This window comes from Homo sapiens, chromosome 1 (assembly GCF_000001405.40).
Source record: "Homo sapiens chromosome 1, GRCh38.p14 Primary Assembly".
Classification (NCBI taxonomy): Eukaryota; Metazoa; Chordata; class Mammalia; order Primates; family Hominidae; genus Homo; species Homo sapiens.
This window is the reverse complement of record NC_000001.11, coordinates 226,675,913-226,695,250: the sequence shown is the minus strand read 5'-3', so window position 1 is coordinate 226,695,250 and position 19,338 is coordinate 226,675,913. Positions and strand designations below refer to the sequence as shown.

Here is a 19,338-nt window from a genome sequence, read left to right as displayed (position 1 = left end):
TTATTTATTTACTTATTTATTGAGACAGAGTCTCCCTCTGTCTCCCAGGCTGGAGTGCAGTGGCACAATCTCAGCTCACTACAACCTCCGCCTCCCGGGTTCAAGCAATTCTCTTGCCTCAGCCTTCTGAGTAGCTGAGACTACAGGCGTGCATCACCACACCCGGCTAATTTTTGTATTTTTGGTGGAGATGGGGTTTCACCATGTTGCCCAGGCTGGTCTCAAACTCCTGACCCCAGGTGATCCACCCACCTTGGCTTCCCAGAGTGCTGGGATTACAGGCGTGAGCCACGGTGCCCAATACCTTCCAGCTTTTTGAAAGAGTTGGAAGAATGAGGAGACCTAAATTCAAATACTGCCCTGGTTAACTTTTTAACTGTGGACCTTGATCAAGCCAGATCAAAGTTTGATTTACCCAGTGGTTTTCAACAGGAGTGATTTTGGCCATTAGGGGATGTTTGACAATGTCTGGAGACATTTTTGGTTGTCACAACTGTAAGGGTGGTACTGCTCCTGGCACATAGTGGGTAGAGGCCAGGATGCTGCCGACATCCTCCAGTGCACAGGACAGCAGAGAATTACCCAGTTCAAAATGTTCATATTGCTGAGGTTGAGAAACACTGATGGCTAAGCCTGAGTTTCTTTACTATGAAATGAATATAATAATACCTAGCTCCTTGACTTGGAGGCTCAAATGAGATAAGATGTGTAAAAGTACCTGATAAAACTGCAAAGTGCTCTGTGGGTACCCAGTTCATCAGTTGATCAGTTGTTATTGAGGACACGCCATACCAATTGGTAATGTTGCTGTCACTAATTAAAGAAGTCATAGATAGAAAGGTTGACTAGGATCAGTCTCAGAAAAGAACCTTCTAGGGTCCTAATAAAAGCAATTTCCAATGTTCTTAAGGGTCTGTTATCAGTAGCCTCTAGGGGTATAGTTGTTCTAACAGCTTCAAAACTGTTCAACCATACTTTGACACAGATTTTTCTTTTTCTGTCTTTTCATGCACCTTGGTGAAATCTGAACACATTCTTTATGGCATTCTTCCTGATTTTGTATCCTGCATCAAAAGAAGAAATGAGATTGGTTTGTTGAAACTTTTTCTTAATGAACACATGTATATTTTTAGTGATTTCTATCTTTCCCTGTAAATGCTCACAAATCACTTGTTAGGTAATCCAGCCCTATGTTTGCCAGTCTGAAGCTTCCAGAATCCAATTTGGCAAAATGTTAGGCAAATAGTTACCCATCTTTAGTCCTCTGACACCTCTTAAAGGTTATTAGCAATGGTTCTGTGAATGCAGAGTTGAGTTCTTTCAGAGCTATCCTTGAAGACAAGGTGTGCTGTGAGAACCCATTGTGGGTAGGGCCGCATGGATCATTTGAATTCTCTTTTAAAAGTGTTGATGTGGAGCTTTTTGAGTAAACTTGAGTTATCCAGGAAAGGGGAATAAGGTACAAATCACCTTCCCTCTGACCCATGGTGTCAGCACAGGCCTTTAATTCAAAAACGTGGGACTGGCTCCTATGACCACAGCAGTTTTAAAACTACAGATTGTGATCTTCAAATGGGGATCAATTTAGATGGTTACAACCAATAGATTTTAATAAAATAGAATATGATAGAGTAGAATAGAAAATAACAGCATTCATTGCACAAAGCAATGGTAAGTACTGTTGTGTGAAACTTTTGTTTTCAGTTGTATGTGTCTGGGTATATGAAGAATATACTGAGCACACCATAAATTAGATTGCTTACAATAAAACATGTCAGTAGGGGGACAGGCAGTGATCTCTACGGACCCAGTAGGAAGTGGTTCTAAAGTCTAGAAATTAAATTCTAAAGCAGTGACTCTTAGGCAGGGGTTTTCCTAATATCTGTGTGCAAAGAGCTGCCCATCATCGCTCGACAGCAGTTTAGACCAGCTAGGGAAAGGAAGGGCATGGTGGAGGGTCTGACTGCTTCCAGAAGCCCGAAGAGATCTCAGCTCAGTGTCTTGTGTGTTCTGCTTCTGAGTTTTTGGCTGTCACTATTCCCAACAGAAACTGCAGTCCTGCTCCTGAGAAAGCAGAGCTGGGTGCTGTCTGCTCACCGAAGTTGACCAGAAGTGGCTCTTGTAATGTGCTACCTTCAAGGGCTTCTGGACCACCCTGGAGGACAGAGCACCCAAGCCACGGCTCACATGCCTGCCTTGCTCCCTGAGCAGCCGAACCTTATTACCATCACACTTGAAGCAGCTCATCAGGGATTTGTTTGAGGCAAAAGTTCCCAGGCCCAGGAAAAAGCTGAAAGCTGTGGACTTAGGAGCCAGATGTTGAGATTTTGTTGTCTGCTGATTGTTGGCTCTTGTCAGGAAAGGAGGAGGAGGAGAAATGAGAGTATATTCACAGTTGCATGGGGGAGTTTTTTACCCTTTTCTTTTTTTAAAGAAGTTGGTATGTTCTTCAAACCTGAGTATTTATATTTTGAGCACTAACAATTCTACATTTGAAGAATAAATCCCCTGCGTGACATGCTACCTTCAGCTCTCATTCTTGGGACTAAGCTGAGTGGTGATTTGGGGGTGGCTTTCCCTTTTAGTGGCCGGCTCAGAAATAGCCAGCACACTTATTACACAGACTGCCAGGCTCTCTGGAGGAAGACAGAGGCTTTGGAGCCCAAGTTTAGCGTCAGCTGTTCTGTGGCAGTGTAGGGTGAGAATTGGACCTGGTGGTTTATGTTAAGAAGTCCAGGGCTGCAGAATGGGAATGCTTTCTTTAGAAGTTTACCCCCTTAAAAATAATTTCCACTTTCCTATCTATTTAAAGGGGCTTTTGAACTTGTGTTTATGAAATGTCTTCCCGCCATTTCATGTGACTTGGGACACAGCAGCTGGGATGATCTTCCTTTTACCCAAATGGAAAGTTGGGTTGGGCTAGGGCCTATGGAAAAGCTGGAGAAGTTTAGAAGCCAGGCAAGCAGGATTATAAAAAACAAGAACCAGGGGAAAAAAAAAACCCACATGATTTTGAGAGGCAGCCTAGTGTAATGGAAAGAGTGTAAGCTTTAGAGTCAGATGACTTAGAGTTGAATCCTAGCTCTGCTCCTTGGACATATTGCTGAATTTCTTCCATTTCCTCATGTATAAAACTTGAAAGTTACAGGGTTTTGAAGGCTCTTGCATGTAGTAGGCCCTTGATAAATACTGATTCCCTCCCAGGCGTTTTATCTTTGTTTTTTCTGGGGCTCTTAACTTTTCCTCACTGGACCTTTGTAGGCACCCATTTGGGGTTCAGCAGGTACCTGGGAGCCCAGAGGAAAAAGAGTGCTACAGACTCCAGGTGGGCCCTGGGTGACCACTGAATCCACCTTCATGATCAGGGCCCACGCAACACAGAGCTGCTTCCAGAGCTCTGGGGGATTTGCTATTAGCTTGGGGTAGTTTAAAATTGAATCCATCACAATGACATGATGGGGAGACATAAACAGAACATTTGGGAGCAGAGCACAGCTGCTAAGGTGGCATGATAGACTGCTTGGCATTACAGCATTGTTATTTATTAGGGAAAGTTGAAATGGGTCAGAGAATGAAGTTTTCCTAAAGACCTCAGTCTTAGGACTAGCAGTCTCTTTTCATTGTTCCTCCATAAAAATGTTTTGCTCTGCTCTATATTGGGCCAAATGCACCAGCCAAAATACTGTTTTGCAAATTTCAGGGGAGGGGATGCGGCTGCTCATTGTGGGCCCTCCCCTTCCTGCTGTTGACTCAGGCCAGTCTAAGGCGTTCTGTGCTGCATTTGGGGGATTTTCTGGGGCCGATTTTAGAATGCTTGCTTACTGTGCATGCAGAGTCCCCCCAGCCAGGCCCCACCCCAGCACGGCTCCTGCCTCTGTCATCTGAAGCCTCATGGGCTGAGGCTGGGAAGAGAATAGAAGACACTGGTCATATGCATGTGCCCAGAGTTTGTTTGAGGAAGAGATTATACATCCATATTTCCAAAGAGAAAAAACAGAGGTTTTTTTTTTTTTAAATGTGGCAAAGTGTACATAACATAAAATTCACCATTTTAACCATTTTAAGTGCACAGTTTAGTGGCATTACATCCATTCACACTGTCACGCAGCCATCACCACCATCCATCTCTAGAACTTTTTCATTTTCTCAAACTGAAACTACCCATTAAATAATCCCTCTCCCCTCTCTCCTAGGCCCCTACAACCATTAATCTACTTTTCTGTCTTTGTGAATTTGCCTATTTTCGGTACTTGGGATAAGTGGAGTCATACAGCGTTTGTCCTTTTGTGTCTGGCTTATTTCATGGAGCATAATGTGCTCAAGGGTCATCCCTGTTGTAGCATGTGTCAGAATTTCCTTCCCTTTTAAGGCTGAATGATAATCCATTGTGTGTCTATATCACATTTTGTTTATCCAGTCATCTGCCGATGGCACTTGGCTTGCTTCCACCTTTTGGCTATTGCAGGAAACTAGTTTTGACGTGTTGAGATGCAGGCCTGATTTCCCTGCCTGCTTGTGAGGTAGGTGGACACGTTGAATTGACGGTCCTGTGTGTGAGTGAAGTGTGTGCGACTGTGTCTGAGTGTCTGTCCTTCTCAGTTGACGTAAATACTAGGGTTATGAAAAGTCCTGTTTTATATCTGAAGAAACTCTCCCTGCCCACTGGCTTGTCAGAGCCTCTTGATGAAAGGGTAAACAGGAGGTGAGTGCTTGACGTAGGAGGAGTGAGTTATCCTGCCTCAGCCTCCTGTCCTGGAGAGTGTGTTTACTGCAGGCTGCTGTGGGGATGAGAGGACCAGTTTGGGAGCCTGACAGCCCCAGATCAGGACCAGTCTCAGAATTTCTTTGTTGTGTGACTTTGGCTAGGTCACTTTAACTTTTCTGAGCCTGGTTGTCTACATCTAAGAGGATTTTGGGATCCATATTAAATGTAACATGTCAAAAGCTGTTGCCCGGTGCCTGGCTGATGGTATGTATTCAAAACACCTTCTCTTCCTTAAAGAAACGCTTATACACTGTTGGTGTGAGTGTAAATTAGTTCAACCACTATGGAAGACTGTGGCGATTCCTCAAAGACCTAAAGACAGAAATACCATTCAATCCAGCAATCTCACTACTGGGTATATACCCAAAAGAATATAAATCATTTTATTATAAAGACACATGCATGTTTATGTTCATTGCAGCACTGTTCCATAATGGCAAAGACATGGAATCAACCCAAATGCCCATCAGTGGTAGACTGGATAAAGAAAATGTGGTACATATACACCATTGAACACTACGCAGCCATAGAAAGGAATGAGATCATGTCCTTTGCAGGAACATGGTTGGAGCTGGAGGCCATTCTCCTCAGCAAACCAACACAGGAACCGAAAACCAAATACTGCATGTTATTATAAGTGGGAGCTAAATGATGAGAACACATGGACACATAGAGGGGAACAACAGATACTGGGGCCTTTTGAAGGGTAGAGGGTAGGAGGAGAGAGAGGATCAGGGGAAATAACTAATGGGTACTAGGCTTAATACATGGGTGATGAAATAATCTGTAAAACAAACCCCCATGACAAAAGTTTACCTATGTGACCTGTACATGTACCTCTGAACTTAAAAGTACACAAACACATATGCATGCACACACACACACACACACACACACACACACACACACACACACAAATAAAACCTTCCGACAAAGGAAAAAAACCCACAAAAACCTTCTCCTCCTTTCTCCACCCGGATAGTGAGCATCTTGCCAGGGAGACACCTTGTTGTATTTACCTATAGGATTCCCCTTCCCTGGGCCTACCACAGTACCTGGCCCGCAGCAGCGGCTGCTGGTTGGATGCTTATTAACTTTATCCTGGACACTCTCTGGGAAACAAAGGCTGCTCCACAATAGGACTTTCCAAAAATGTTCTGAGAAAACACAGCCCCAGTGGAATCAGCACAGAGCTTTCTAAGGGGGTAGGCTTTGAAGAGAATATTATTTATTTGGATGGGTAAATTCTGGATTGTTTGAAAAACAAAAACATAATACTGGCCTCATTACTTTTTTCGTCATTGCCCCTTTGTCTGTGGGTAGAGTGCTTTTGAGAGATTATTGGTTGGAACTTTAAAAATAGGCCAGTTGTCAGATGTCTTGGCACGAAAACATATCCCAGTGGCTTTCTTTAGGAATTTTCATAAAGCTAAACGTCTCTCCTTGGAGAGGGCTGTGTTGATCACCATCTGCTGAATACTCTAAAGAGGTCGGAGAGCAAACTTGCTCCCAAGCTAGTGGAACTAGCCAGTGGAATCCAGATGTCAGTAAAGTGGGGAAGCACTTGTTTGTTGGGGGGGAAAATGGAGTGGTTGGTAATGGGAGCAAAAAGAGTCCAAATCATTTTTTCTGGACCCTTCTCCCAATTCCCATCCCTATCCCTACCCATCTGTCTTTGACTTTATCAGTGAGAGTCATACCAGCGTCCTTGGGTGGTTTTGTGGGTCAGGCAGAGAGAAGGGTACAAAGATTGTTGGTGGATTCCAAATGCCAGGTGAAAGGGGAAGGAGAAAGTGCTAGCATAAAAGCTCTGCCTGGGACCCGGCAGGCTGCTCTGGCACAGCTGACTGTGGCAGCAGCTCTGTGGTCTGGGCAGCCCCTGAGTAGCCTGCTAATTGTGACTGGCTTCATTAGCATTTTGGGCAGTGGCCCCGAGCAGCTGGGCTGCTGCTGTCAAGAGTTGCTTTGCAGATGGAAGACCTCCTTTTCTGTCCTCTCCTCTTGGCCCTCATTACTATCTAATGCCAAAGATACAGAGTGGGGGTGACTCTTGGCTTGGGTTCTGTGGGACCCTGAACACACGAGACAATCCTGATGGGGGGCGGTCAGGAGTGGGGGTGGTTACATTCTGAGTTTCCCGGAACAGCTCTGCAAAACAGCTCCCCAAGGGATGTTGTCTAATTCGTCTTTGCATTTCCAGTGCCAGCATGGTACCTGCCATATATAGGCAGCTGCAGTTTAAAAGGCTATGCTCTTTTCTGGAACCCTCCAGGGCTGCAGGGATCTCTTGTATGATAATGTCACTATTTGCCATTTCATAGGGGCTTAATCATTGCTGAACCCTATCAGAAGTGTGAACCCTATCAGAAGTGCTAAGCCCATTTGTTTTTTCTTGCCAGAGGCTTGGGCCTGAGACTTGGTATGGCTTCTACTTTGGGTGTATTTCTCCTAAGGAAAACGTAGGGCAATTGGGAGCTTTATCCTGGTTTCTTTTTAAAAATAGTTGTTACAGACACTCCCTTGGCTGGTCCTGGCAAAGACTCTTGAGGTTGTAGGAGCTGCTCTTTCCTCCTCCCCAGACACCTGGGGAAGTTGGTGAGCTCCTTGAGGAAACTCGGAAGCAGTATCTTTTTAATCTTTTTACCTCCATCCCTATGGTCTTGAGTAGAGAGCCACACACAAAAGGCCCCTGGACAATGAGGAGCAATGGCGATGCTGCCCAGCTAGAGATCCTTCCCACAGTTGGTATCTGTGTGGCCCCTCTGTGCCAAGCAAGGCCACAGGAGGGCAGGAGGGCACTGTGTCTCTAGGTAAGTGCTCCCTACAGTGCTGGAACTGCTGGGGCTGCAGTTTCATGGAACCCCTCAGTTTTGCCAGCCTCAAGTTGACAAGTGCAAAAGCAGATGTGGTTTCTGAGCTCATTCATGTTCCTTTACAGCGGGCAGCACCCTTGGTCTCAGTGGAAAAAGCTGTTCCAGGGACAGAGGGTAGAGGCTGTTCCTATGTTGGCCTCTGAGCTGGAGGCTGGAAACAAGGGATCAGGGTGTGATGTGGGAGGGCAGATGGCACAGAAGACTCCAAACCCTAGTGTTCCCCTTTAAGGCCCACTTTTGGTTGTTTCACTGTGGACAGTGGGTGAGATTTTTGTTTTCATCCCGAGGATGGAAGCCATAGACTCATGACTCTGAAGAGCTCTCTTATGAATAACTTACGGTTCTATATCTCATGGTGGAAATATTTGGCAGCATTCTGCACTATTTCTGCCTTCTCTTCTTGACCAGATTTTATTTTGTTCCACTCTGATCTTATTTTGGCCCAAGTGTAAATGACGCTATAGAAAGATTCCTTTTTTAAATATTCCTTTTTGCTCACTGACTACAAATATACAGTACTAGAGACCCAAGGCAGCAAATGACTTGTGCCACATCAGTGAGGCAGGACGTTAGTCCCTGCCAGCACCTGGTGATGTTACTCCCTGGAGGTTCCAGATTATAGCATCCCAGCCTGAGGCTTGAAGACCCAGGGGACTTCTGTTGTCACAGCACAGTCAAATCCTCTTGGCAATAACTCACTCTCCCTGCACGTTTTTCTCTACCTCCAGTTCTGCTCTGTCCCCTCCCATTGCCAGATAAGTCAGCCATATGTGGCCCCCAGGGCACAGTGGCATGTGCACACTTGGCACCCCAGGACAAGCCTTAGGAAAAACGGACACACACCTAAACCCTTTGGGATGTCCTTTTTCGACATTGTGCACAGCTACACATGATCTTTCATGAAAGAATCCAGATGGGAGACATGTGGCAGGAGATCTCCTTTTAGTGCCAGATAGGTACAGAGTCCTCTGGTCTTTAATGAGTTTTACGTTGTGTTATGTCTGTGCTGGGATGGAGGGCACGTTACACCGCACGCTGACGCAGTTTCAGGGCCCCAGAGGATGCACAGAGGCAGGGCAGGAGCTTTGGGTTTTTCCCACTGAGCTAAAGGGAGTTTGGGGGCTTTGATCCTTTTGAATTTCCCCCATTTCCCCAAAGGTCAAACTCTGGACTTGACACTTAACAAGAAATGCTCCTGGGAACCCCAATCTAATAATGGTATCTCAGTGAACCCCAGGGAACTTTTCCACTTCTTTTTGAAACTGACTATGGCTTCCCTTTCAATCTATACTAGACATGTCCAGGAATGAAATTAGGCCCACTGGGTGACTAGGGAGTTGGAGACATTCTTCAGCCAGCCAGAGCCTCACTGTTGATTCAAGAGCAGATGCTTCTGTGATTTGCCCCCTGCCCATCCACCCCCATGGCCTCATTAGAGCAGACAGAACTGGTTCGGAAGCCTGCTGGCCCACATGGCTTTCCCTTGGGTTCTGCTGAAGTGCCCTGGTAAGCCTTTTAGGGCGGGGGGTCGCTTTATCTGCCATTCCCTTTCCTTTAGCAACTTGCCTTGTTAACCTGGGGTTGCTTTCTGCAATAATGTCTCAGGTTGGAATCTTCATCATCCCCCTCCTCTTCTCCCTCACTCTTTCTCGTTTCCTCCCCCATCCTCAGTTTCTTGTCTTGCATCACATTCATTGGCTCAGAACCTTCCTCGTGCTGCCCCACAGCTCACCGCGGCACCCAGCAGCCAGCCGCTTCATTTCCCCAGCTCCAGAGCTTCATGGATGAGAAAGTGGAATTTTTTTTCCTTGTACAATGTTGTGGAGCTTTTAATTAGTTAACTCATGTGTCCATTTTATAAACAATGAACTAAACACCTGTTACATGCTGAACATTCCAGCCCAGCAAGCCCTGGTGCCTGCCCTTGAGGACGTGGAGGTGTCACTGGTCACAGAGACATGCAGTCAGATCACAGAGTCGTTGGGTAGAGGCTGCAGGGAGGCCTGTGAGGGCAGGGTCATGCCGTGTGGGTGCAGACAGGGAAGAACAGCTACTGCCCTGGAGCCTGCTGGGAGGCCCAGAGCTCATCTGTGGAGGCTCTGTGGGAGAGGGGACAGTCAATAACATCTTTACTGTTGAGTTGGACTTCAGTGGCTGGACAGGGAGGGAAAGATGATTCCAAGTTGAAGGTCCACGTGAGCAATGGCCAGGAAACCCGAGAGAATGTGGCGGGACCGGGAAATGGTGAGTGGGTCAATGTCGCCAGGACTTAGGGGCAGGGGTGGGGCAGAGCGGGCATGCGTGGAGCCAGGGTGCTGAACACTGAGCTCAGCACGAGCTGAATTTTGAAGTGCCACATTCTAAGGAAATTAAAACATCCTGTGGATGGCAAGAGGACAGGTTGAGTTTTGAAAGGGGCGTCCGCAGATGGAGGTGTAGGGAGGTAGCTCTGAAGACAGGGACTCTTGGATGAATCTCTTACTGTGTTGTTCCCGTTGAAGGGCTGTTTCCCTCTTGGGGCAGAGGCCAACTCCTTCATTCCCCAGCTTGGCTTAAATGTCTACTCAGGCATTCAAAGGGAAAAGGAAAGCAATGGTTTTTCCTGACCCCATTCCACTCTCCCCATGTAGGACCTGTGAGTTGGCTGATTGTGGGTTCAGCATCTGCCACCCTGGGAATGTTGACCCAGGGGTGTGAACGGTGGAGCGCTGGAGGCAGGCAGGGGCCCTCCATGATGGGCAGAGCAGCTCAGTGGCCTTGGCAGATCTGGACTCTGGTCCCACCTGTGTGCCTCTAGGGACGTCTTTGGGGCCCTCTGTACTTGGGTTTTGTTACCTGTAAGTTATATATGAGTGACTGCTTAACCTTCTGGAGTCTCCATGCAGAGCAAATGAAAGAACATATGAGGATATCATTTGAAAAGCACAAGGCCTGAGATCTTTGCATGCAATCATCTGCATTTCGGTAGCTGACCTTTCCCAGAGCTGGTTCACCAGTGTTCTCTATTGTGGAAAGGACCCTGTGCCTGAGAAGAAGGGCTTTTAAGAGACCCCAGTTCTAGAACAAGTCTGATTTCAGGTTTGTATGTACTGCCTCTGTGGGTCCCCTTCCCTGGTTAAAGAAAAAAAAAGTGTTGCTCTATCCTGCTCTGCTATGCTCATTGAAAGAATGGCTGCTCTGTGAATCCAAATGCAGGCCTTCCATGCAGGCTTTCGAGGGAGGATGGTGGGGTGCACAGGTTGACTGCTCTGCTCCCTGGCTGGTGCTGGTCTCCTTCTGGAAGCATGCACTAGGCTGGCCAGCTGGACAGTGAGTATCTGGTAACAGATGAGCAAGTGCTTCTCCTACTTTGAGTTTCTTGGGGGTGATTCTACACTTGCTTTCACATATCCGTCTGGTAACACCTGGACTGGTGCCATTTCCTTCCCCTTCGTTTTGTTCCTAATGGCCCCAACGTCAGTACTGCATGCGAAAGGTGAGAGAGAATTCTTGGTGGGAGAGAATCGGGTGCTGTGAAGAGGCTATTTTTCTACTCACGGAAGTTCATTTACTCTTTGGATTGGAAATTTCCCTGACACTCAGAAAGTCAGATGGTTTGTCAGTATGGAACATGCCTCAGGGAATTAGCAGGATATCCATACCTTCTTTGACTGGAATTTAATATTTCCCACTTTGGCCCAGCAATTGAACAAAATCTCTTTGTAATGAAGGTACCTTGTGGTACCTTCATTTCTTTAAAGTGAAGTTTGGTAAGATGAAAGCTGTGTTCTGAGGCACAGATGTTGTAAGATGTTTGGTGGTTGATTTTGAGTCCTCCTCCAGCCTGTCCTTGGGTAGCTGGCTTTGCCATTTTCTCAGATGAAGAAAGGAGAGAGGCATAGAAAAGAGGGAATGATGTGTTGCTCAAACTCAGTTTTAGAATGGAGCATCAAGTCGGGGGGACTCTGAGTTCAGCTAGAGCTTAGATTAGTTGCATGTCTACACTCCCCTTCCCCCGCCACCGTCTCCACTTCACAGATGTCTTATACTACACAGCAAGCAGGAGGGCCTTTGACATGGGTAGGCGGTCATGGGGCATAGCATGGTGGAGAAGAATGGGTTCTTGGTACATATACATGGGTTCAAATCCTGTTTCTGATGAGTTCTGTGACTGGGAGCAAGTCATGGCATCTGCCTGAGCCTCTGTTTTCTTACCGATGAATCCAGGTCATCTTAGTTCCTGCAGTCAGCTGCCTCACAGGGCTGTTTTGAACATCATAAGAAATAATGGATGAGAAAGAGCTCCATCAACTCTACAGGTGTTAGGGGAGAAAGGAGAGAAAAGGAAAAGGAGAAAGAATCATGTAGGCAGTGGGTTCCTTTATGCTGGGCTGCTCAAAGCACGAAGGGGGAGGTGTTGCAGAGTTGGGATTCCCCAGCCCTCTCTGCCTTGGGACAGTTGTCACACATTCCCAGGGTCTGTGTCTTCCACCCAGGTTTATGCAAGCGTGGACAGCACAGTGACAGGTTGCAGTGCTGGCTGCCCCTCTAGGGCCTGGCTTCCCTCAGAGCATCATGGTGTAAAGTAGGAGGGAAAAGGCAGGTGTGAGTCTGTGGGCAGACAGACCTGTCTTGGGCAGAGCTGCTTCGGATGACACAATCCAGGGTGACACAATCCAGTCTGATTGCTACCCACTTTGGTAGGTAGAACGTGGCCAAATACAGCTAGACTCTCCCTGTAAATATACACCTCCTCCTGAGGCTCAACTTGCAGAGAAAAAGGGACTAGAGATGGAGAACAAAGGCTGGAGGTGCCCCAGATGCTGGAGTGGCTGCCCTGCCTGTCTCCTATACCACTTTCAGCTTCTTTTATCTTCCACAGCTCCTCCCCAAGGAAGTCTGAATCTCATTCACTAAAGGGGTCCCCTCTGAAGGGTACTGTCAGCCCACAGCCTCTCTTCATACCAAACACCAGTCAATCCCAGGTGTAATTTGTTTATTAACAATCATAAGTGTCACTTATGGAAGACCTTGTATGTGCCAGGCAATGCCCTAGTGCAGCTAATTCCTAGCACAGTCCAGCAAGGGAAGCAGCCTCATTTTACAGGTGAGGAAACTAAGGCTCAGAATGAATGAGTGGCTTTACCCAGGTCACATGGTGGGCAAAATGCTGGAGCTAGGACTCAAATTTCTGCTTGCTTTGCTCCAAACCCTTTGCTCTATGTTGCTACCTTGCCTTGCACTGCCAGTACACAGAAGTCCCTTCGGTCATTCTCTGTTCTCAAGAACCCTGAATGACCTGCTGAATGTTATTTATATTTTCCTAGCTCTTTTGGGCCACTTTGACCAATGGTGTCCAGTGGTTCTTGCCAAGACTGCACTTTGGAAACATGTGGGAGCTTAACAAATAAATCCCTGTGCTAGACTACACTCCACACCAACTAAGCCAGAATCTCGGGGCGGGGGGGGACCCAGGCAACAATGGTTGTAAAACTCCCAGGTGATAACTGATGTGCAGCCAAGGTCAAGGACCACTGCATTGCCCTCCCAGCCTTCAGCTAGTGGTGGTCCTTTGACTACTGGAGATGAGATGGTGGCAGCTGCCTGGGGATCCTTTAGGAGGCTGAGAAATTCTTCAGCCAGGCCTTTAGGTGGACTGCTGACATTGCTTCTACACTGCTTCCACATAGCTCTGAGCCTTTTTATGTAATGCCCTCATTCAGCCTATGAGCTTATAAGCAGCGTCTGAACTCCCAGCTTGGACTCCTGAGTGACAGATGCTGGAGTACAGGCATTTGTTTTGGAGGAGGCAGGGGTATCATCTGGAGAGTTGGAAATTTTGTTTTGCAGGGTTGCCAAAAACATGGCCAGCTAGTAGACCTGCATTTGCTCCCTTTTTTAGTGCCCAGGCTGAGGCATTTAAATGTTGTTGCAGGTGGGAGAGGATGAAGCACAGATCCAAATCTGCACAATGCAAAAATATGCAAATTGGGCTTTAAAAGAAAATGTTTATATTTAATTTTTAAATCAAACCTTTTACCTCAATATAGGTATTTTTCTGTATGCCCCAGGCGATTGCAGGAAAGCAGCCTGGCATAGGGAAATCCTGGGTTAGATTTGGGCTCTGGATTTATCAAATTTTCTGCACTTACCAACTCTGTGCCCTTGCCAGGGTGGTTGTGAAGACCAACTTAGAGAATGGACACACAAGCTGTCTTGCATAATGGTAGGCTCAGAGAACACACTCAACACATATTAATTGCTTTCCCTGCCTTCTCTGCCCAATTTTACAGATGGAGGTGTCTGCAATGGTAAACTTTCTGGCTAAATCAAAGGGAAATGAAGTGTAACCCCTTAAGAGCAAAAGGGCTGGTTCTAGGTGGGAGTGTTATTCACAGGCTAGGAAGAAAGGAACAATCTGGCCTCGGAACCAGCAACACTGTCTGTGGACTGAGAAGCACCCCACGTTAGGTCTTCTCACCAGACGACTGGGTTTGACATGGTGAGAAGAGGCAGGTGGTTAGTTTTCTGACCAAGGCGCTCAGCTGAAAGGCTATCAAGGATGGCATGAATAATTTTTGCCAGGTGAGGGGAGGGGAGTTTCAGAGAGCATGCATCTCAAAGTCTTGTCAGGGCAATGACTGGACCTCAGAGGCTGACCACTTCATAGCTGCGGACTTTTTCTTAGCAACGTGAAAGAACACATCCACTTAGGGTAGTCACAGGGTGTGTGTGTTGGGGGTGGCAGAGGTCTTGCATTCACCCAGGATGGGGCTGAACATTTTCCCGTTTGTCCCAGGGACAGGGTAGCTCTCCTGTGCCCTATGGGCTTCAAGGCAAAAGGGCTTTATGAATCCTGGTGAGAAAAAGCGTTTAAAATGTCTCTTGGCCAACAGTACCTTGGTTTAGTTCCCTCGATCTGACTTTCCTGAGTTGCATCCCAACTGGGCTGAGCCTGGTCTCTGAAAAGTCCCTATCATCAATATCCATCTCTTTCCAAACGCCCTTGCTGAAAAGCCTGGGGCCCCCTTTTCTTTCCTTCTTGTACTGTGGGATATTTGCTTTCCTTTTTCATAAGAATCGTGGATAACTTAATACAAGTAATCATTAGAGCCGACTCTTCACATCGGTTCACCAGCTGGTCCCGGAAAAGGACCCTACCTAACACATTCAGCATTGCCTCCTCTCTTGGGGAAAGAGCTGACACATTTCTGTGCCTCCTGCTGGTTCTGGGATGCCCTCAGGCTTCCCTACCTCCCCCCTCTCTGCCAAAAGGGACTTAGGATCTCTAAGCTGTCTTTCAAACCTCAAGGAATTTCAGGAACTCGCTTGCTCTTTTGGGGTCATGCTGATTTGGGCAGCTGGGTGTGCCCCGCCCCATCCCCGCCCCAGCAGTCACGTCATGGAAAGGCTGGGGAGGTGGGTCCGTGCTCACGTGGTCGCGGGCGCTGCGCTGCCTGGAGGCTCAGTTCTGGGCTTTCAGGGTTGAAAACCCCTCCCCAAGCTTAGTTTGAGGCCATCTGAGGCCGCTGGAGAGTTGACCCTGCTCTCACAGGTGATGTGTTAGGATCGAGGTGTGGTTGGTTCCGTAAGCTGGTCGGAGGCGCAGACGCTGGGCCAAAGTGTCAGCAGCAGTAGGAAATCTACTGGGTGTTGAGGCTTTTTGCAGTTCCCTTTTCTCCCTGCCCTCTCCGCCTGGCCTGCGCTTTAACTCTTCCCGGGTTTGCTGCAGGGTTGGGAGTGAGGGCAGTTTCACTGGTGAAAAGGACGCTTTCAGAAGCCAGACTCCTAACCTTCTCCCCAGCAAAATCGAATTTAGAGCAATAACCTTTAAGTTGAGTTTTAAACTGTGACATGTCCATTACAGATCATTGGATAAATACAGAAAACTATAAAGAAATGAAAATCACCCGTAGTCACCCTTTTAGACTTTTTCCTAACATTAAAAATACTGCTTTTATTTCTGCAAAATGTAATTTTAAGTATAGTCTTGAATGACTGATGAGGAAAACCTTCTTTTATCGTCTTTCTTCTTTCAACATCAGTTCAAAAGGGAGGTAGAATATCGACTTAGGTTAGTCCCCACAACTCAGCTTTTTTGAGACTATCCCAAGAACACAGCATTTCAGAGCCAGATAGTATTTTTGAGTTTATGTGGTTAATCTTTCCACTTTCTGGACTGAGACAGAAGTGACACAACTTTCTTGGGGTTTCCAAATTAGCTGCAGAGCTGGAACCAGAAGAACTCAAAGAGTTCTGCTTCTGAAGTCAGGGTCCTCCCAAAACTCCAGGAGCATGGAATATCAGAGTTCACTTTTAGGTCAGAGATTTTAAATAAGATCAAAAGCAGAAAAGGGAAGAGGGGAGACAGGGAGCCACATCTGAAAAGGGGCAATTTTCTTTGGAATTTTGGTACATTTTAATTCCTTTTTACAGATGGAAACAAAGTGACATTTTTAAGAATTCTGAATAGACGCTGTCAGCCATTGGAACAAAACACCTGCAGGAAGAGATACTGGGAGGCAGGGAGCTCTATCTTAGAGAGGCACCCAGTTCTTTGGGATATGAGCGCCAGTCTCTGCACAAGTTGACCCCAGGGACTCCCCTAGCCTGAGTGCTGGCGTCAGTGCTTCCCCGCAGGCCTGCCTTCTAGGCAACCATGTGGTCTCTTCCTCATCAGTAGCCCTCCGCAGAGGCGTGCTCCCTGAGATGCCCCTCTTTCTGACATCCACTCTGGGCCTGTGGTTCTCTTGCTGGGAGTATTGATACCTCTATTGTCACTTCCTGGGAGGCCTTCTCTTCACACAGGAAACCTCCTTCCTGACAGCAGAGAGCGGCCTAGAATAAGCCTATCATGAACACCGTTGTCAAGACCACGTAAAAAGCTCACCAAAGCCTTATCCCAGTCCTGGCTCCTTTTGGAATAGATAATTCTCCCTTTTTCTCTCTGGCCAGGACTGATAATGATAATAATAATGAACACTTAGGTAGTGTTTAGTGCTAGACACTTTACATTTTAATCTACACAGTGTCCCAAATTCATTTCACAGGTGAGGAAACCAATGGGGCACAGATAAGCTTGCCTGAAGTCACAGCTATGAAGAACAGAGCCAGAATTCACACTCAGCCTGGCTCCAGAGACCATGTTCCTAACCACTAGACTAGACTAATCAGCCTGCTCCAGGGGCTCGGCCTCTGCCCTCAGTGGCAGCACTCTATTTGAGGTCTGCAGCCATCTGCAGGGGATTTGATTTTCCTCCCCCTTTAGGGAAAGCAAGTCTGGGGTCACTGTGGCTCCTTTGCCCTCTCCTAAGTTTGCATGGCAGCCAGTTTTCATTTTGTGTCGTTTTATTTTCCATAGGCCACATTTATCATATTTAATAACCAAATGTTATTTGGTTATTGGTTATTTTGTAAAATTCTTCACATGAATAACATTAGAAAAATAGTCTTTGTTAGCGTCCATGTCCTGGTTTGGTATTTGGACAAATTGTGGAGGTGTGGCCAGAGAGTATATTCTGGAGTTGGACAAATCTATCCAAATCTAGACTCTACTATTGACTGGCAACATGTCTTTCTTTTTTTTAATTCCTTCGTTTCATGGTTTTCAATGTATTCAAGTAATGCCTGTACAAGCTTGATATAGCACGTTAAATAATGCACGCGAAATACCTGTACAAGTGAAATAATACAAGATGCATGAAGGTGAAGCTCCTCGTCTCCTCCTTCAGTCCTGTCCCTCTCAATCAGCATTAGCCACGTTCTCCAGGGCAGCCTGCTGAGCCTCCACATGGTTGTTTTCCTGCCTATAACAGGAGGCGAACGCCCTGTGATGTATGTAATGGGTGCTCTTTCAGTGGTAGTCATTGTTATGAGGAGGGAACACATGTGCATTAGGGCTGCAGTAAGTTGCATTTTTGCCATGGGAAGAGAAATTCTCCACCTTTCCCGTCAGTTTCTCTTTGCTTCTCCATCTTGCAGCCTCTGGCACAGCCCAGAGTCCAGTGGTATCCGGCAGAAGCAGTGCTGTGCAGCTCTGAGCTGGGCCCTTAAGGGGAAGAGGGAGTACCTCCAGCAATATTCAGGGTGGATGTGGGTTCCAGGGCTTCTGATCCTGGGGCTGGGCTTGTCTGAGATTCACAGGAGGTTAGAGAACTAAGGAGGAAGGGGAGAAGGCTTTAACCCACCCCTCTGCTGTCTCTCTCTGGAGGAAACCTCAGGCAGCTCTGTGTACTTCCCCCTCTGCACACACACCTCTTCCTGCCTTCTCTACCCTGACACCAAGGTCTCTCCCCAGCCCTGGTGGCATCGTGCCTGGGTTGCTAATAATAGAGAAGGGTGAATCTGCCAGGCAGTGAATCAGAAGGCTGTCCCAGCTCTGTTCTTCTGCCCTGATCCTGGCAAATTCTTGTGGGCTGATTCGGTAAATATCCTTGTGAGCAGAATAAGTCTTTGTGTGTTCTGGAAACTCCTGCTGTCCCTGGGGGTAACACCCTCTTGGAAGGATGATGGGGATGCCTTTGGCCTCAAGATCTTAGGACGGCGTTTCAAATTGCTCCAGGCTTCCAAGCTAGCCTGGGCTCTGGGAGGAGGGTTTGCAGGTTTGGAGAAGGAGCTGCTTCCCAGGTGCTCAGGGGATGGAAGTGAGAATAGGGAGGGTGTGGAGGGTACAAAGAGACTGTTTAGTTCTTGCGTAAAAGACAACACAATATGGTCCTTCCAGTTCTTTTTAGAGCTCAAAAGGTGAAATAAGAATAAAGAACAGCGATCTGCAGTTTTCCTATTATCCAAAAGCCTACTACCCAATTCAGTGGATTGTTTTGGCAACTTGCTTGGATAAACTTATTTAGAAATTATTTCAGAATTCCTCCAGGCAGTTACCCTACGTCCTTTTTAAGTCAAGGTGTGGTATAAGTCCATTAACGAATTAAAATACTTCCAGATTTCTGTGTTATTCTCAAGGCACTTTTGCTAGATAACAATACCTCACACTTGGACGGTGTTTTGTGGTTTGCAAAGCACTTTCACATCTGTTTTCTCACTTGGTTGCCATAATAACCCTGGGAGCCGGGAAGGGCATGTCTTGTTATTATCCCTATTTTGCAGATGAGGAAGCCAAGGTTTTTAGAAGGTTGGGTGGCCTAGTCAAGGTCACACCGGTAGGGGAATTGGGGGGATGGAGGAAACTAGAGCTGTTTTTCCTTAACCATCTTGCCTCTCACTGAGATGAAACAGCAGGATGGTTCCTGGGACCCAGGATCCCTTTGAACGCTTGGATTAAAATAATTTATGAGTTCTTTGTGAGTGTGTGTGGACCTGCTGGTAGTGGCTTTTCTTCATTAGAATTTGCATGCAAGATTGACACTAAGATGGCTGACTTTCACCATCCCAAACCAACCCTGTTTTTGCACCGTGCTGTAGTGGTATGAATTACCTTGCAGGTAATTGTGGCTTAGGTGATGGTACACAAAAGGCATCATACAGCAGCCAGATGTTCATTTTACTAAATGGAAAATATGACTCAGAACACGGGCCAATCTGAGCCTCCAAGCAGGCAAATTAGCCATTGAGGATGAAGTCTTCACCTCTGGAGAGGAGAGAATGTGGGAGCACAGAGCCCAGAGTCAAATGATTTGGTTGAGATCCCCCCACTTTGGTTATTTAGACTTGCTTATACTCCTCTGACCAGACTATGGGATCTTCTACAGAAATTCTACAGAA

At 46.8% G+C, this 19,338-nt stretch overlaps 1 protein-coding gene across 1 annotated transcript in view, besides 7 other annotated features; it reads left to right on the top strand.

The window, feature by feature from the left end:
- Positions 1 to 19,338, top strand: part of ITPKB (inositol-trisphosphate 3-kinase B) — a 107,593-nt gene that overhangs the window by 44,032 nt on the left and 44,223 nt on the right. The gene's annotated exons all lie outside the window — the stretch shown is intronic.
- Positions 6,154 to 6,653: an enhancer, noted in NCBI's record as "H3K4me1 hESC enhancer chr1:226876299-226876798 (GRCh37/hg19 assembly coordinates)". NCBI's record gives its function as "activates a minimal SCP1, AML or CMV promoter by ChIP-STARR-seq in naive H9 embryonic stem cells {active_cell/tissue: H9 hESC(naive)}" and the evidence as "EXISTENCE:reporter gene assay evidence [ECO:0000049][PMID:30033119]".
- Positions 7,516 to 7,565: a silencer, noted in NCBI's record as "silent region_1887". NCBI's record gives its function as "represses an Ori minimal core promoter by ATAC-STARR-seq in GM12878 lymphoblastoid cells {active_cell/tissue: GM12878}" and the evidence as "EXISTENCE:reporter gene assay evidence [ECO:0000049][PMID:35858748]".
- Positions 9,720 to 10,221: an enhancer, noted in NCBI's record as "H3K4me1 hESC enhancer chr1:226872731-226873232 (GRCh37/hg19 assembly coordinates)". NCBI's record gives its function as "activates a minimal SCP1, AML or CMV promoter by ChIP-STARR-seq in naive H9 embryonic stem cells {active_cell/tissue: H9 hESC(naive)}" and the evidence as "EXISTENCE:reporter gene assay evidence [ECO:0000049][PMID:30033119]".
- Positions 11,956 to 12,015: an enhancer, noted in NCBI's record as "active region_2665". NCBI's record gives its function as "activates an Ori minimal core promoter by ATAC-STARR-seq in GM12878 lymphoblastoid cells {active_cell/tissue: GM12878}" and the evidence as "EXISTENCE:reporter gene assay evidence [ECO:0000049][PMID:35858748]".
- Positions 14,993 to 15,162: an enhancer, noted in NCBI's record as "active region_2664". NCBI's record gives its function as "activates an Ori minimal core promoter by ATAC-STARR-seq in GM12878 lymphoblastoid cells {active_cell/tissue: GM12878}" and the evidence as "EXISTENCE:reporter gene assay evidence [ECO:0000049][PMID:35858748]".
- Positions 15,213 to 15,262: an enhancer, noted in NCBI's record as "active region_2663". NCBI's record gives its function as "activates an Ori minimal core promoter by ATAC-STARR-seq in GM12878 lymphoblastoid cells {active_cell/tissue: GM12878}" and the evidence as "EXISTENCE:reporter gene assay evidence [ECO:0000049][PMID:35858748]".
- Positions 19,052 to 19,201: a silencer, noted in NCBI's record as "silent region_1886". NCBI's record gives its function as "represses an Ori minimal core promoter by ATAC-STARR-seq in GM12878 lymphoblastoid cells {active_cell/tissue: GM12878}" and the evidence as "EXISTENCE:reporter gene assay evidence [ECO:0000049][PMID:35858748]".